This window comes from Homo sapiens, chromosome 14 (assembly GCF_000001405.40).
Source record: "Homo sapiens chromosome 14, GRCh38.p14 Primary Assembly".
Classification (NCBI taxonomy): domain Eukaryota; kingdom Metazoa; phylum Chordata; class Mammalia; order Primates; family Hominidae; genus Homo; species Homo sapiens.
In genome coordinates, this window is record NC_000014.9 from 63,530,434 (window position 1) to 63,547,792 (window position 17,359).

The following is a 17,359-nucleotide window of genomic DNA, read 5'->3' on the forward strand; positions in this document are numbered from 1 at the left end:
TGTTGGCCAGGCTGGTCTCAAACTTCTGACCTCAGGTGATCTGCCCGCCTTGGCCTCCCAAAGTGCTAGGATTACAGGCATAAGTCACAACACCTGGCCAGGATTAAGCAATTAGTTCTTAATGGGATGAATATGAATGCAAGCTTCTATCCTACTTTTAAGTGATGAATATATCAGGTACACTGACTCTCAATTTCTTTTTTTTTTTTTTTTTTTTTTTTTGAGACACTCTCACTCTGTCACCCAGGCTGGAGTGCAGTGATGCAACCTCTGCCTCCCAGTTCAAGTGATTCTCCTCAGTCTCCCAAGTAGCTGGGATTACAGGTGCGCATCACCACGCCTGACTAATTTTTTTGTATTTTTAGTAGAGATGGGGTTTCACCATGTTGGCCTGGCTGGTATCAAATTCCTGACCTCAAGTGATCCACCCGCCTCAGCCTCCCAAAGTGCTGGGATTACAGGTGTGAGCCACCGCGCCTGGCCAATTTCTTTTGGCCCACATAAAACTCTGTACAATAATTTTACCTATGCTACAGAAGCAAACTATTAGGATATATTAAAAAATGTATATTCCTTCCTAAAAGTGAATGAAATTATCTCTTCATTACAACTGGGTACAATCTTTCATAAATAAAAATACAGGAGAATTTCCTGAACTCGGGAGGCGGAGGTTGCAGAGAGCCAAGATAGCGCCATTGCGCTCCAGCCTGGGCAACAAGAGCGAAACTCCCATCACAAAAAAAGAAAGAAAGAAAAAAATAACATATGTATACATGTGCCATGTTGGTGTGCTGCACCCATTAACTCGTCATTTAACATTAGGTATATCTCCTAATGCTATCCGTCCCCCATCCCCCCGACCCCACAACAGTCCCTGGTATATGATGTTCCCCTTCCAGTGTCCATGTGTTCTCATTGTTCAATTCCCACCTATGAGTGAGAACATGCGGTGTTTGGTTTTTTGTCCTTGCGATGTATACATATGTAACAAACCTGCACGTTGTGCACATGTACCCTAAAACTTAAAGTATAATAATAATAAAATTAAAAAGAAAAAAAAAAATAACATAGTTTGGCACTTGCTTTTGTGCAAGATCTTAAAATTGCTTCCCCCCAAAAAAATTATTACCACACTTTTTCAAAGGTTCTAAAACTGAACTTTAACATCTATTAACATATAGATGTTCTTTCAGTTCGAAAGTAAAGCTTATGGTTATTTTTTAAACACACACACACACGGCCGGGTGCGGTGGCTCATGCCTGTAATCCCAGCACTTTGGGAGGCCAAAGTGGGAGGGTCACTTGAGGTCAAGAGTTCAAGACCAGCCTGACCAACATGGTGAAACCCCATCTCTATTAAAAATACAAAATTAACTGGGTGTGGTGGCGCACACCTGTAATCCCAGCTACTTGGGAGGCTGAGGCAGGAGAATTGCTTGAACCTGGGAGGCAGAGGTTGCACTGAGCCGAGATGGGGCCACTGCACTCCAGCCTGGGCAACAAGAGCGAACCTCCATCTCAAAACACACACACACACACAAATCTTAGATGCCTGAAGAACACACATCATTAGTCAAAGGTACAAACTAGATCAATAGATCTTAACCCGTTTTAAGTCAGATATCCCTTTGAGAATCTGAAAAATCCCTATTGATTCCCCATTTTTAAAATAGATACACACATACAAAATGTTCACATAATTTTAGGCTGCTCATTGCATTTTAAATCCAACCAAGGATTTAAGAATCTCTATACCTACTATACAAGAGTATAATGACTGGTTGCTTCTGGGAAGGGAAACTAGGAGAAGGGATGGAAGGAAGATTTTTCACTACACTTCCTTTTGTAACCTTTGGAATTTGAACCATATGGCTGTATTATCTATTCAAAAAATGAATAAATTAAAAATAAAAAGCATTACACTAAATAACATGGCAAGATACTAATGCAGTAGATGCAACTCTCCAGGTGAAGATGTTTAGAATAGCTATTATATTAAATTCACCATATTTAAAAACTGCTTCTTTGAAATTTTTGGTTGAAAAACGTTTGTGGCTGCAAAATTATGCTCTTCATAATTTTCAGAGAAATTTCCAATTTCCACCTTTTTACTAGTAAAATATGTCATAAAAATTTCATATTATTCATATTCTAACTTTTGAAACCCCCATTAAATAACAACAGCTAGTATTTACTGAATGTGGCACTGTCACATCTATTGACTATTAACGTCATCATCATTTTACAGACAAGGAAAACCAAAGCTTTCAGCAGTTAACGCATTTGTCCAAGGCAACCCAGCTAGTGGTAAGCTAGGACTCTTGAGGACCAACAAAACCCATGCGACAATGTATCACGACATGGAGTGTAGTAACCACTAAAATAGATGACATTATTCCTTAAAAGACTATTCTTTTTTGAGACAGCATTTCACTCTGTTGCCCAGGCTCAAGTGCAGTGGCACAATCACAGCTCACTGCAGCGTCGATCTCCTGGGCTCGAACTATCCTCCCTCAGCCTTCCAAGTACCTAGGACTACAGGTGTGTACCACCACACCCAGCTAATTTTTTATTGTATTTTTTTTTAGAGACAGGCCTGCTATGTTGCACAGGCTGGCCTTGAACTCCTGGGCTCAAGTAATCCTCCCACCTCGACCTGCCAAAGTGCTGGGATTAAAGGTGTGAGTTATTTACTGTACCTGGCCTCTTAAGAGACTATTCTTATTCTAATAGGTTTTAGCACATTCACTCGTTATAAAAATCTGGTATTATATTGCATGTGCCTACTTTACTATACACAAAGCAGATATAGACGAAAAAGGCAATCATTAAAAAGGCACGAAAACGGCCGGGCACGGTGGCTCACGCCTGTAATCCCAGCACTTTGGGAAGCCGAGGCAGGCAGATCACCTGAGGTCAGGAGTTCATGACCAGCCTGACCAACATGGAGAAACCCCATCTCTACTAAAAATACAAAATTAGCCGGGCATGGAGGCGCATGCCTGTAATCCCAGCTACTTGGGAGGCTGAGGCAGGAAAATGGCTTGAACCCGGAAGGCAGAGGCTGTGGTGAGCCGAGATCGCACCATTACACTCCAGCCTGGGCAACAAGAGCTAAACTCCGTCTAGTCATCATAGTTGTAAGAATATCTAAAAGTGAATGTACAAACTATCTGCAAAATGCCTCGGAAATGTATAATGAATTGTGAGACAAGAAATAACAATGGCGGCCGGGCGCGGTGGCTCATGCCAAGAATCCCAGCACTTTGGGAGGCCTAGGCAGGCGGACGCACCTGTGGTCAGGAGTTCGAGACCAGCCTGGCCAACATGGAGAAACCCCGTCTCTACTAAAAATATAAAAATCAGCCGGATGTGGTGGCAGACACCTGTAATCCCAGCTACTCTCCGCAGGCTGAGGCAGGAGAATCACTTGAACCTGGGAGGCAGAGGTTGCAGTGAGCCGAGATTGCGCCACTGCACTCCAGCCTGGGTGACAGAGCGAGACTCTGTCTCAGAAAAACAAACAAACAAAAGAAATAACAATGCTACTTTCACTATAATTCCATCTTCAAAGAGGCAGTATTCTTCAGAAAACGTTCACCCAAATCTAAACTTACAGAATTGCTTAAAGTCAACGCAAGGAAATGAGGCACAGGAGGCTGGGGTGAGGAGAGAACATAAATCACCCAGCCAGGTGCTACTACCACTGATTATTATTAACATAAATTTGTGTGTGTGTTTGTGTGTTTGCCTAACTGTTTAGTTTGACTGTCTTACTCAACAACTTACCTAGATAACAGTCAAGGCTTGCTTCATGTCCTGCTGTGTAAGTGTAAGGAAAGTATCCAAGTCTTGACTTTCTTTTTTTTTTTAAGACAGAGTTTATAGTGGCACAATATGAGCTCACTGCAACCTCCACCTCCCGGGGTCAAGTGATTCTCCTGCCTCAGCCTCCTGAGTAGCTGGGATTATAGATGCACACCACTACATCCACGAATTTTTGGATTTTTAGCAGAGATGGGGTTTTACCCTGTTGGCCAGGCTGGTCTCAAACTCTTGACCTCAAATGACCCGCCCCCTGTCGGCCTCCCCCAAGATTTTACTTTCTTATCAAGTAAGTAAGGCACTAAACCTCTACTAGGTTTTCCCTATCAGTGAATGAGTAAGAATCTTTTAGACTCAAAGAAAAAAATGTTTTTATTTTGAGACAAAGGTCTCACTCTGTCAGCCACACTGGACACAGTGGAACAATCACAGCTCACTGCAGCCTCAGCCTCCTGGGCTCGGGCAATCCTTCTGCCTCAGCCTCCCAAGTAGCTGGGACCACAGGTGTACACCACCACCCTGGCTAATTTTTTAAATTATTTGTACAGATGAGGTCTCACTATGTTGCGTAGGCTGGTCTCAAACTCTTGGGCTTAAGCGAGCCTCCCAACTCTGTCTCCCTATGTGCTGGGATTATAGGTGTGAGCCACCATACCCAGCCTCAAAAATGTTAAGGCTCTCCAAGAACACTTTCACAAAAGCATATAAAGATGGAGAAAATGTAAATGTCTATCTTTGCAAAGTTCATCCTATAATTTCCTAACACACAGATACGGAAAAACCAGGTAGATTTATACAGAATTACAGGTGGTGTTGCTTTCTACAGGAAATAACATCAGTGATACAGATTTCAAAACCCCACCTATTAGACATAGGGCAAAATAGGCTGGGCGCAGTGACTGACGCCTGTAATCCCAGCACTTTGGGAGGCCAAGGCAGGTGGATCACCTGAGGTCAGGAGTTTGAGACCAGCCTGGCTGGTCTCAACACGTCTCTACTAAAAATACAAAAAAATTAGCTTGGTGTGGTGGTGGGCACCTGCAATCCCAGCTACTCAGGAGCCTGAGGCAAGAGAATCACTTGAACCAAGAGGCAGAGGTTGCAGTGAGCTGAGATCGCACCACTGTACTCCAGCCTGGGCAACAAGAGCAAAACTCCATCTCAAAAAAAAAAGAAATAGGGCAAAACAAAAACTTTCCCTTCACATTATGTTGCAGTTTTGCAAGTGAACAGACTTTAAAACGCTAAGAATTAATGCAGTATTATTTATAAATCAAAGATTATGATGCATATAATAAACATTCTGATAATGCATGCACAAAACGAGTGGTTATTAATGCATATCTGAGCATTCAAAAATGACATATTAAAAGATGAGTTACATAATCACTGTTTGTATAATTATCGTATTCAAACTCCCCTGAAATTAAAGACCTTAAGGACACCTCTTTGACTTCATTATTTAAAACAACTCACAAAATTCAACCATATTTTATATTGTACTCCAAATAAAATTAACCCAATTTAGTCAAAGCAATACTATAGAAAATTAAATCAATAACTACCCTTAGCATGCATATAGTGTTTATCCTGGTTTCTCTTAAGGCAATGGCCAAAAAAAATAAAATCCTAGAAAAGAAATTCCTCCTACATTTTCTTTATATTCCATAAATTACTTCCTAGAAAATCAAGAGCAAATACACATTACTGAAGTCTATTTCTGATTATACTTCCTTATGTTATTCTACAGACAGAGATGGATTTCTAATTTATAGAATACTTTCCAGAGTATTTACCCAGAATGTGCTTACTACATAACAATCACTGTTAGTCACTCTGGAATTAGGTTTGTGAGTATATAGTCCTGTTACTCTCCAATTCTCTCATACTGGCAAAATATACAAGTTCAAAAAATCACATTCTTGGAAAGCAGAGTTCTTGGAAAACTGGCAACACTAGCAGACTTCACTTTTAAAAGTGAGAAAAAGGATACAGAAATGGCCAAAAAGCACAGGAAAAGATGCTCAACATCACTAATCATTAGGGCAATGCAAATAAAAATCACACTGAAATACCACTTCATACCTATTATAATGACTACTATCAAAAAATTAAAAAGCAGAAAATGAGTGATGGTGAGGATATAGAAAACTGGAACCCTCATGCATTGCTAATGGGAATGAAAAATGGTCCAGTTGCTGTGGCAATATGTATGGCAATTCCTGAAAAATTCAACATATGATCCAGCAATTACACGTCTGGGTACATACCCAAAAGAAATGAAAGCCAGAACTTAAACAGGTATCTGTACATCATGGTCACAGCAGCATTATTCACAATAGCCTGAAGGTGGAAGCAACCCAAGTGTCCACCAATGAATTAATGGATTAAAAAGTATATGGTATGTATATACACTGAAATTATTCAGCCTTAAAAAAGAATGAAATTCTGACACCTGCTACAACAGAGATGAACACTGAAGACACTTGACTAAGTGAAATAAGCCAGTCACAAAAAGACAAATATTGCATGGCATCACTTATAGGAGGTACCTAGAGTAGTCAAATTCATAGAAACAAAAAACAGAATGGCGGTTGCCAAGGGCTGGTGGGGGAAACAGGGAGTCAGTGTTTAACAGGTACAGAGCTTCAGTTGGGGAAGATGAAAAGGTTCTGGAGATGGATGGTAGGGACAGTTGCATGACAATGTCAAGGCACTTAATGCACATTTAAACATGGTTAAGATGGTAAATTTCATGTTATGTATATTTTACCATAATTTTTTAAAATGAGAAAAAAGACATGAAAGCATTAAAGAAAAAATACATTAAAGCATGTGTCCAAATTCTTCTCATGCATGCTTCTTTCACTACCCACAAAACCAATACCCTGACTATGAGTGGTCAGTGAAGTCCTAATTTAATTGTTTACCATAAGATCCAAGAAATTAGTGTAAGTTTTTAAATTCCTTCTAATTCTAAAAAAAAAAATTTAACTGGCTTCCTCAGAATGAAGTCCTTTACAGATACAGAAGTTAACACCCATTACATATCTACTTCAGATTAAATAGATTACTAAAAACCAGTGTCTCCCAACTTTGTATTTCAAGCATAGTTCAATCTACAGTGTTTCCTACATTTTCTTTCCAAAGCCTCATAATGACTATTTTCATTTTTACCAGCAAAATCTCTAGTCAAAATTTTCTCCCCCAAAGCTCACAGGAGCTCATCTTTACTGACTGGTAGATATATCATCTTTACAGTAATCAGTATTCAGTTTCCAAAAATTTTGTATAAACATTGGAATCTTATTTATGAATCTCTCTCTCTTTTTTAAAAAAAGTATTCATATGGAAAAAATAGAAGCTTGAAATATCCTAAGCTAAATTTTGAGGATCTTTTCCGGTTACATTCCAGTTTTTCTTATAATACCTTCTGATTTCACAAACTGTTACAGAAATAAGTCTGCAATAATGAACTAGCAAACCAGGTTGCCTGGTTTCCTCCAAGCCACACTAAAGCTCATTGTGTTGTTCATATCCCCTTTCTCCCATTCTTCAGTATTCAGCACATAAACATCCACCTCAAAGGTAAATTCTGATAGTTTCCACACTATAAAAGCTATGTTCTGATATTTTTCAAACAACACCTGTTCATAAACATGAAGCAAACATGATGAAAATTAAAAGGGACAAAAAGTAACCACATACCCAAACAAAAGTTGAAATGCCTAATTTAGAAAAAATTCTTCATATTAAAAACGTGTTGGGCCGGGCATGGTGGCTCACGCCTAAATCCTGGCATGGGAACACCATGGCAATTCGAGACCAGCCTGTGCAACATGGCAAAACTCCATCTCTACAAAAAAATGGAAAAATTAGCTGGGCGTGATGGCATGCTTCTGTAGTCCCAGCTACTCGGGAAGTTGATCCCGGCTACTCGGGAAAGGGAGGATCACTTGAGCCTAGGAAATAGAGGCCACAGTGAGCCCCAACCTGCACTTTCTTTTTTTTTTTTCCCCCGAGACAGAGTCTTGCTCTGTCACCCAGGCTAGAATGCAATGGCACGATCTGGGCTCACTTCAACCTCTGCCTCCCGGTTCAAGCAATTCTCCTGCCTCGGCTTCCCGAGTAGCTGGGATTACAGGTGCCACCACCGCGCCTAATTTTTGTATTTTTAGAAGAGACAGGGTTTCACCATGTTGGCCAGGCTGGTCTCAAACTCCTGACCTCGTGATCTGCCTGCCTCGGGCTCCCAAAGTGCTGGGATTACAGGCGTGAGCCACCACGCCCGGCCTCAACCTGCACTTTCACTCTGTCCCCACTGAACTCTAGCCAGAGTGACAGCATGAGATTGTCTCAAAAGAAAATTTAAAAAACCAAAAAACTTGTTTTTAACAAATTTCAGGCCAGGCACGGTGGCTCACACCTGTAATCCCAGCACTTTGGGAGGTCAAGGTGGGCAGATCACTTGGGGTCAGGAGTTCAAGACCAGCCTGACCAACATGGTGAAACCCTGTCTCTATTAAAAATACAAAAATTAGCTGGGCATGGTGGCGGGCACCTGTGCTCCCAGCTACTCGGGAAGCTGAGGCAGGAAAATCACTTGAACCCAGGAGGTGGAGGTTGCTGTGAACCAGCCTGAGCAACAGAGGGAGACTCTATCTCAAAAGATAAAAATTAAAATTAAAAAATTAACAAATTTCAAAGAAAAGATCATACTAAACAAGTATGATCATCATACTTGTACATAGAAAGGTATATCTTTTCTACTTGTACTATGTGAAAACAAGAGTGCATGTAAACAACTATAAATGGACCATTTTTTTCTTGATTTTTAAAAACGAATTCTTCCAAATACCATTTTCTATATGTAAATTAATGAATGGTACCATCTCCTCTACTAGGGTCTACTTCCTAAGACCATAATCTGTAGTTGTCATTGTATATAATGTATCCCTAAACGTCAACAGAAGAAAAAATGAAAAACACAAACCCAGACATCTTAAAGTTTCTCTAGTACTTAGTTTACCTACTCATCAATGTGAGATATTCTCCTGATAATGTTTCTTTTAACTTGCCCAAAGACAGACTAAATTGAGCCTTTAAAAAGGAGAGTGGGTATATTTGGTCACACATTAGTAACTTCAATGTATGTGAAGTATCCCATCCCTTCAATTTGCAACACATATAAAACTCTACAAAAAGGAAATTATATATAGATGTAGAAAGATCAATTGAAAAAGAATGCATCACCTGGTCATGAGCCTTACCTTTTAGCAGCGGCAGAGGTGTTAACTCAATAGGCTTGCCTTGAGACCTAAACTGTGAGGAACTTTGCGACCTCTTCTGTCTGGCTTTTCTGACGGACTTCCGAGAAAATCCGTCTACTTTATCCACTGATGGAGGAGTAGTTGGTGCTGAGGACATATCCCTACTGAAGAGAAAGAAGTATCATAAACCCATACATTCCCAAGGTGGAAGCATACATGTGAGTTATACAAATTCTAAAATTCCCATATACAATATTCATGAAAATGGGAATATGTGCTAAAGAAAATAAAATCAGTTAAGAAAAGTCTTATCTTGGCCAGGTGCAATGGCTCACGCCTGTAATCCCAGCACTTTGGGAGGCTGAGATGGGTGGATCACTTGAGGTCAGGAGTTCAAGACCAACCTGGACAACATGGTGAAATTCAGTCTCTACAAAATTACAAAAATTAGCCGGGCATGATGGCAGGTGCTTGTAATCTCAGCTACCCGGGAGGCTGAGGTGAAAGAATCGCTTGAACCTGGGAGGTGGAGGTTGCAGTGGGCCAGGATCCCGCCATTGCACTCCATCCAGCCTGAGTGACAGAGTGAGATTCCGTCCTTTAAAAAAAAAAAAAAAAAGGGCTGGGCCCGGTGGCTCACACCTGTAATCCCAGCACTTTGGGAGGCCGAGGTGGGTGGATCACTTGAGGTCAGGAGTTCGAGACTAGCCTGGCCAACATGGTGAAACCCTGTGTCTACTAAAAATACAAAAATTAGCCAGGCGCAGTGGCATGCACCTGTAATCTCAGCTACTCAAGAGGCTGAGAAGGGAGAACCGCTTGAACCTGGGAGGCGGAGGTTGCGGTGAGCCAAGATGGCACCACTGCACTCCAGCCTGGGCAACAGAGCAAGAGTCCATCTCAAAAAAAAAAAAAAAAAAAGCCAGGCACAGTGGCACACACCCGTAATCCCAAGGCGGGCAGATAACTTCAGGTTGGGAGTTCGAGACCAGCCTGACCAACATGGAGAAACCCCATCTCTAATAAAAAAAAAAAAATACAAAAATTAGCCAGGCATGGTGGCGCATGCCTGTAATCCCAGCTACTCGGGAGGCTGAGGCAGGAGAATCACTTGAACCCGGGAGGCGGAGTTGTGGTGAGCCAAGATCATGCCATTGCACTCCAGCCTGGGCAGCAAGAGGAAAACTCCTTCTCAAAAAAAAAAAAAAGAAACAAACAAAGAAAAGAAAAGTCATATGTTAACAGGAAAACATGAAAATTTAGTGAAAATAATTTAAGTATCACGGAAACAATATGAGAACTCTAATGTATTGTGCCACTCCATTATAAGCATTAAAGATACTCATCTAGGCTTAAAGAAATCTATGCTGCCTGCCCATTTTCTAACTGCAAAGCTCTTCACATCTTCAAGTAATTTTTGGAGCTATTCTGTAACTGGAAAACTTCCATTGATACATTTTCCCAAGATACTTAATATTATGAATGGGTTCTGGAGTTGAAAAACCCTTAGTGTACTTCAAGAATCTATACCAATGTATCACAGCAAGGTGAAATTTACTACTACTGAAACTATCTAGGCATAACTTTTAATGGGATGTGCTATGTTAGCTATGATAAACTATACCACACTGCAAATGAGGACAGGCTAGATTACTTTAAACAAAACACATAAAAGGCATAATTAAAATATTTCAAATAAGTCTTCTTTTTGAATGAAGCCACCTTACGTTATTAACGCTTAATAAAAACTATGAGAAAATCAAGCACCAAAGTTGAACTGAAAACATAAATTCACAGCCTACTGAAACAACCAAGTTGAGTTCCCTTGAGGTTTAGACCTTGAAGTTCATCATCAAATACCAATTTTCATTCCATCAAACTTACGGAACTGAATAGCACTTTTGAATTGTTTAACCCTCTCGAGTTATTAAAATGAAGGCTATTTCCTGAAAGTAACAAGCGTTAAGCTTAATTTCATTCACCAAATTAAACAGATGCCATCATTTCCATGGCACTGAGGCTTCATGCAAGACTAATGGCAGACTCGGATAGAAAGAATGCATATGGGGGAAATGCTGAAATGCAATTACTCACCTGTCATTCCAATAGACAAGACAAGTGGTTTTTAACTTCTAAATAAAACAGTAAGGGAATTTCTTCCTGAACACGTGAGAATAAAAAGTTACCTGGATTACGTGGATTTTGACAATGTAAAAATAACAAAAACATTTTAAAACACATGCACACATATGATGTTGACGTTTGGAATTTGGAAGTCTTCTTTGGTTTTCTTTAAAAAAAAAAAAGTTTTTAAAAATCTACCTAATTTAGCCTTAATATAATGTGATGGATTCAAAATAGAATCACAAACTATGAATGACTATAGATGTTAAGATCACTTTAAAATATCAAAATGACTGCATCAGCCAAAAGCTCCACATCTTATTTGTACGTTGTAAATTTAGGGGCCGATTTTCCATTCGGGTATGTGAATTATTTAGACTTCACTCTAACTCTAACACTACAACATTTCAGTAAATCCTCTTCCTCCATCACTCTTTTCGTCTCTTCTTTATTCCTTATCTCTCATCTCTACAGACGATATATAGGTAGCTTTTAAAAAAATCATTTACCCCTTATGCCCGAGGCCCAGAATAAACGTCAAGGATCGCAACCCTGAAGCACTGCAAAACTGAACGTAAGGTAACAGCGGGTCCGTGCAAAGCCCAGGGAAACAGGTTTCGCCCTGGGCCAGGGCTCCCGAAGCTTTATCATCCTCTAATCAGCAGGCATGGGGCATTTCCATGGCTCAGGATAATCCAAAGGGGGTAAGGGGAAGTAGGGAAAGACAGGGAAGGGGTTTGTCTGTGGGGATGCTTACATACTCCCTTTGCTCCTAACCCACACCCCAAGCCCTGGAGACGATAAGCTGCTAGAGAATCCTCCTCACACCAAACCCCTCTTTATTCCCCGCCCCCGCCAGTGGATAAAGGGGGGCAAGAAAACGCCTCCAATCCCAGAAGGTGGAGAAAAAGGGGGGAGGGGGCAGAGTGAATGAGAGGTATCATCAGAAGCATTTGTAGGTAAATCAGACAAGTGGGACGGGCGCTCCCGCTCCCGCACCCCACCCCACCGCACCCCTCGCCTGCCCGGCCAGGCCTTCCCAAGGCCGGTGCCCCATAGGTTCCCCAGGAGGACCGGGAGGAAGAAGGGAAGCGGGCGAGCCGCGGTGCTGGAGGGACTAAGTTACCTTGAAGCTTCTGGGGAAGAATCCAAAGATGATCTGTGGCTTGGAGGGGCGGGAGACGGGCGAGGTGGCCGCAGCGGGGGCGGGCGGCGGGACCGGGACGTGCAGGGGGAGGTCCGGGCAGCTGCGGGGAGCCTGGGGCGACGGCTGTCCGGTACGGGGTCCCTCCGGTTCCGCGGCGGCGGAGCCTCTAGGCCTCACGGCCGGACCCGAACCTCAGCGTTCCGGTGGCGGCGGCGGCCTCACGATCCTCCCCCGCGGGCCCGTCCCATCAAATCGGCACCGACCCCGTTGCGGCTCCGCCGGTGGCTCCTCGCTCACATTCCTGGCGGGCGGCGCCTCAGCTCGTTGCCCCGGACCCGGCGGCGGCGGCGACGACGTGGGGAGGGGGGGAAGGGAGGGAGGAAGACTGGATCTGCAGCGGCAGCAAGAGAAGGGGACAGAATAAGGAGGAGGAGCCGCAGGAGCTGGAGCCGCCGCTGCCAGAGCCACCTTTCGCTACCCGCGGTGGGTCCCAGTCAATGCCCCTTTCTCTCTCCTATTGTCAATATCACCGGGCGGCTGAGTCCATGGCACACGCGCAACCGAACCTTCTGGCCAGCAGCGCCCGCCTCCGGCGCCCGCCCACTGGAGACTTCAAACGGGAAGCGAGGCCTCATTGGCCAGTATCCGCCTTCACTCCCCTGACAGCATGTTCGGCTGAGACCTGATCAGGGATTGGCGGCAGGAGGGCGGAGAAACGGGAGGGTGGGAAGAGAGAAGGTCGAGGATTGGGCCGAAGCTTGAGGAACCCGGATGCAGCCGCGATCTCGGGCGGTGCAGCCGCCGCTTCCGCCCGGCAGTGGGGCAAGCTGAAGTGAGAAGCCGCTGGGCCTGAGAGGAGCTCTTTAATTCCGGGAGGTGTGCGACTAGCGGATCAGCGGGCTGGCTTTCCGTGCTGTGCGGAGCCTTTGGGCGGCGGTCGTCTTGGACCGGAGGATTCCAAGGGCTCGGGTCGTCTAAGGGTCGGGGAGCCCCGGAGACTTGATCCCGCCCTGCAGCTAGTGTGGCCCCTCAGGGTTTGGGGAGTCCCACTCTGGACGGGACCCTGTGATGCGTAGGCAGGAATAAGATCCCCCGCCCGTGCCGGTGTGCCACTGCTTGTGTAAATGGGCCCCTTGAAACCCCCAGCAGTCGCTCTCCGCTGAACCTTCTTCGAATTTTCTCTCACCTCATCTCCTTTTCCTTAAACGTCTGTTTTGAATATCAGACCCCTGTAGCGTTGAAGCCAGCGCTCGTTTAATTAATGCAGGTGGGAACGCTGTCGCCACAGTTTGCAGTCTATTCATTCAGAATAACCCGCCAGTCAGCCGACTGCTCAGAGCTCGGAAAGACCCAGCTCCAAACTAGGAGTTTCGAGATTTTAATTGGCAAGTTGGACCCGAAAGAGTTAATGGAGAAGACTACTTAAATCTATCTAGAACAAGTGATGAGATATTTGGAGATGTGTTTGCATGCTTGGTGAATGCAGACGGCCAAATGGTACATTTCCAGATAATATTCTTGGATTAATGTATTTGAATGCACCCTACGTACATTTTTTGAGAGGAAAAAAGGAAGAAAGAAATTATTAATGCTAACTACAAACGTCAGAGTACCAGTTGTTCAAAACTTAGAAATTGGGGGGGGGGACAAAAAAATTAACATTCTTATTTTCTCAACTCAGAGATAACCACTTACAGTATTTGCATACTTCCTTTTAGTATTTTTTCTCTTTATGTTAATAATGTGTGTCGATCTGTAGCCTAGTTTTTTCCCTCAGCATTATATCATCTTTTCGATACGGTTAGGGAATAGAGCTATATATAAATAAAACTATATGTACCATATGTACAAGTGACAACGAAAAATGCATTTGCATTTCTCCTGTTTGTGTTGTTAAACACTAGAGTTTTGAAATTTTCTTTGCACACTCCCAGAAATGGCTCTTGAGTGGAAAAATAATTTTGTGCCATGAAAGATAAAAATATTCCTGCTTTGAACTGAAATGGAAAACGAAAAGATGACTCTTAGATGGAAGCAGTCTCCCCCTACTGACTCCAGATGATTGGCCACTGTATGGCTAGTGCCCACTTTTGCCGTGATAAAGTTCATCACCACTAAGTATGAACTATAGAATACCAGCAGTCTAGTTCCTACCCTCAAGAACCTTAAATTTTCCATATCTCAATATCCTGTACAGTCTTCATGAAAGTTCAGTGTCCCAGCCAAGGACCTGTTTTCTTCAATCTTTGATTGAGGGTAAATTCAGAATTAAAACCAAGGAAGATTTTGAAGCCAATTCAATTTCCCTTGGCAACAGTTGAACTGTTAAAAGCATAGTGCACGTTTGAAATTCTCACAGCTGTTGCTTAGAACATGTCATAGAGTGGGGATTTTGCTTGCAAATTATGGATCTCTATAAAGACAATTCATTTCAAAGTCATTTCACTTTCTATAAAATGGCTGAGCAACTGAAATGAGCAGGTTTTTTAAAATGGAAACATCCTTGCCTATGTGAGAAATTGTTCTCTGGACCAGTAATTTCTCCCATGTATCCCAGGGATTTCGGTACTCCAAGAATAGTGCAAGACAATCTATTTCGGATGCAGTAAAAGAAAGTATTAGGAAATATATTTACATTTAATTTTAATCTAAAAGGCATTACGGTCAACTACTATTTTATATAGAGTGAATGGCTCTGCCCTCAGTCCATGGAATGGTGCCTTGGCCTAGAACAGCATAGGAGATGTCCTCAGGGAAAAGTGGGAGTTACCCATTCCTAGGGGTTGGCAGTGGTGGGCCCACCCAATCAGCCCCTGACAACATATGACTTATTGCGGTTTCTTATTGCAGTTTCTGGATTCAACTAAGTGGACTTACTGATTATATTATCTAAGTTTAATTAAACTAACCCTCATAAAACAGACAAATGACTCTATGAGTCCTTTGCAAATAAACCACGGGAGAACAAGAAGAAAATGTTAGAACTGACTCTTCAGTATCAAATCTTTTTTTTCTTTTTTTTTTTTTTTTTTTGGTATTTTTAGTAGAGACGGGGTTTCACCATGTTGGCCAGGCTGTTCTCAAACTCCTGACCTTGTGATCCACCCGCCTCGGTCTCCCAAAGTGCTGGGATTACAGGCATGAGCCACCACACCCAGCCCAGTATCAAATCTTTGACAGCCACTTTTCAAAAGTAAAATACCAATCTAATAAATTCAATCAAATTTTGACTAGAAAAAAAATCAAGGCTACTTGAAATGTAAATTTACATCCACTGTTGTTGTTGTTGTTGTTGTTGTTGTTGTTGTTGTTGTTGTTGTTGTTGTTTGAGATGGAGTCTCGCTTTGTCGCCCAGGCTGGAGTACAGTGGCGCAAACGACTCACTGCAACCTTCACCTCCCGGGTTCAAGCAATCCTTCTGCCTCAGCCTCCCAAGTAGCTGGGATTACAGGCATGTACACCTGGCTAATTTTTGTATTTTAAGTAGAGACGGGGTTTCACCATGTTGGCCAGGCTGGTCTCGAACTCCTGACCTCAAATGATCCACCCCACTCGACCCCCCAAAGTGCTGGGATTACAGGCGTGAGCCACTGCACCCAGCCTACATCCACTGTTATTAAGAATTGAACTTCATTCTAAGTGTATATGTTGATTGAGTTAAGCTAATGATGGTAGCGTATGTCTATACTTTATGGACAAATACACATATATTTGGAAGAATTTTTTTGGCTGGATGTCACAGCTAATGCCTGTAATCCTAGCACTTTGGGAGGCTGAGGAGGGTGGATCACTTTAGCCCAGGTGTTTGAAACCAGACTGGGCAACATCGTGAAACCCCTTATCTACGAAAAAAATTTCAAAATCAGCCAGGCCTGGTGGCACGCTCCTGTTGTCCCAGCTACTGGGAGGCTGAGGTGGGAAGATCACCTGAGCCCAGGTGGTCAATGCTGCAGTGAGCTATGATCATGCCACTGCATTCCAGCCTGGGAGAGAAAGTGAAAACCTGTCTCAAAAAAAAGAAGTTTGGAAGCCAGGCACAATGTCACAGGCCTGCAGTCCCAACTACTCCACAGGCTGAGGTCGGAGCATCACTTGAGCCCAGGAGTTGGATTCTGTAGTGTGACATGATGTAGCCTGTGAATAAAAACATTCTAGGCCGGGCACAGTGGCTCACGCCTGTAATCCCAGCACTTTTGAGAGGCCGAGGCAGGTGGATCACAAGGTCAGGAGTTCGAGACCAGCCTGGCCAATATGGTGAAACCCCGTCTCTATTAAAATACAAAAATTAGCTGGGTTTGGTAGCAGCTGTCTATAATCCTAGCTACTCAGGAGGCTGAGGCAGGAGAATTGCTTGAACCCAGGAGGCGGAGGTTGCAGTGAGCCAAGATCCCAACACTGCACTCCAGCCTGGGTGACACAGCAAGACTCCATCTCAAAAAACAAAAAAAAATGAAAAGAAAAACATTATAGCCATCTGAGAGGCCATTATCAAGTGACAAAATGTAGTCTATTGCTCTCACATGAAAGCATTCACTTCCCAGATATCAAAGCTGAGCTTATCATGAATCTACTAGTGAGCTAGCCACGTGATAAGACCAAGACATTGACTATCAAATGATGGCTGGCTGGGGAACTAAAGGAGAACTAAAATAATAAGTAGAAGCATCGTCAGAACAATTGTCAACCAGTAGAGGAGGAAAAGACCTATGCTGATTAGATATCATGATCAGAGGTAGACTAGTTTGGTGTGTGTGGAGTGGCGGGGTACATGAAGCTGGTCGTGGACTGAGAGGAAAGAACAGTGAGGGTGAGAAAGCCTGAGGCAGTAGCTGCCTCTTAGGAAAACAGAAAGAGTATACACTGCAGGTGCGGTGGTTCACACCTGTAATCCCAACACTTCTGGGAGGCGAGGCAGGCAGATCACTTGAGAACAGGAGTTCACGGCCAGCCTGGCCAACATGGTGAAACCCCGTCTCTACTAAAAATACAAAAA

At 43.0% G+C, this 17,359-nt stretch overlaps 1 protein-coding gene and 1 long non-coding RNA gene across 8 annotated transcripts in view, besides 5 other annotated features; one reads left to right on the top strand and one right to left on the bottom strand.

Annotated features, from left to right (window-relative positions):
* PPP2R5E (protein phosphatase 2 regulatory subunit B'epsilon) overlaps positions 1–12,944 on the bottom strand; it is a 172,014-nt gene extending 159,070 nt beyond the window's left edge. For 4 of the 7 annotated variants that reach the window (NR_104104.3, NM_001282180.3, NM_006246.5 and 1 more), the window contains exons 1-2: positions 12,346–12,944; positions 9,096–9,259 (exon numbers count right to left, since the gene is read on the bottom strand). Coding sequence is in view for 6 of the 7 variants with exons in the window: in NM_001282180.3 (NP_001269109.1) it covers positions 9,096–9,252 (157 nt within the window). In the remaining variant the exon portion in view is untranslated. Of the gene's footprint in view, positions 1–9,095; positions 9,261–12,345 lie in introns of those variants that run through there. The other 3 variants (XM_047431543.1, NM_001282179.3, XM_024449647.2) reach the window with 2 other exon arrangements.
* On the top strand, positions 12,351–14,231 carry LOC112268140 (loricrin-like). The gene has a single exon (NR_158218.1). It is a non-coding gene; the product is annotated as a loricrin-like (long non-coding RNA).
* Positions 12,440–12,579: a silencer, noted in NCBI's record as "silent region_5827". NCBI's record gives its function as "represses an Ori minimal core promoter by ATAC-STARR-seq in GM12878 lymphoblastoid cells {active_cell/tissue: GM12878}" and the evidence as "EXISTENCE:reporter gene assay evidence [ECO:0000049][PMID:35858748]".
* Positions 12,620–12,759: a silencer, noted in NCBI's record as "silent region_5828". NCBI's record gives its function as "represses an Ori minimal core promoter by ATAC-STARR-seq in GM12878 lymphoblastoid cells {active_cell/tissue: GM12878}" and the evidence as "EXISTENCE:reporter gene assay evidence [ECO:0000049][PMID:35858748]".
* Positions 12,996–13,987: an enhancer, noted in NCBI's record as "H3K27ac hESC enhancer chr14:64010147-64011138 (GRCh37/hg19 assembly coordinates)". NCBI's record gives its function as "activates a minimal SCP1, AML or CMV promoter by ChIP-STARR-seq in naive H9 embryonic stem cells {active_cell/tissue: H9 hESC(naive)}" and the evidence as "EXISTENCE:reporter gene assay evidence [ECO:0000049][PMID:30033119]".
* Positions 13,050–13,259: an enhancer, noted in NCBI's record as "active region_8509". NCBI's record gives its function as "activates an Ori minimal core promoter by ATAC-STARR-seq in GM12878 lymphoblastoid cells {active_cell/tissue: GM12878}" and the evidence as "EXISTENCE:reporter gene assay evidence [ECO:0000049][PMID:35858748]".
* Positions 14,347–14,426: an enhancer, noted in NCBI's record as "active region_8510". NCBI's record gives its function as "activates an Ori minimal core promoter by ATAC-STARR-seq in GM12878 lymphoblastoid cells {active_cell/tissue: GM12878}" and the evidence as "EXISTENCE:reporter gene assay evidence [ECO:0000049][PMID:35858748]".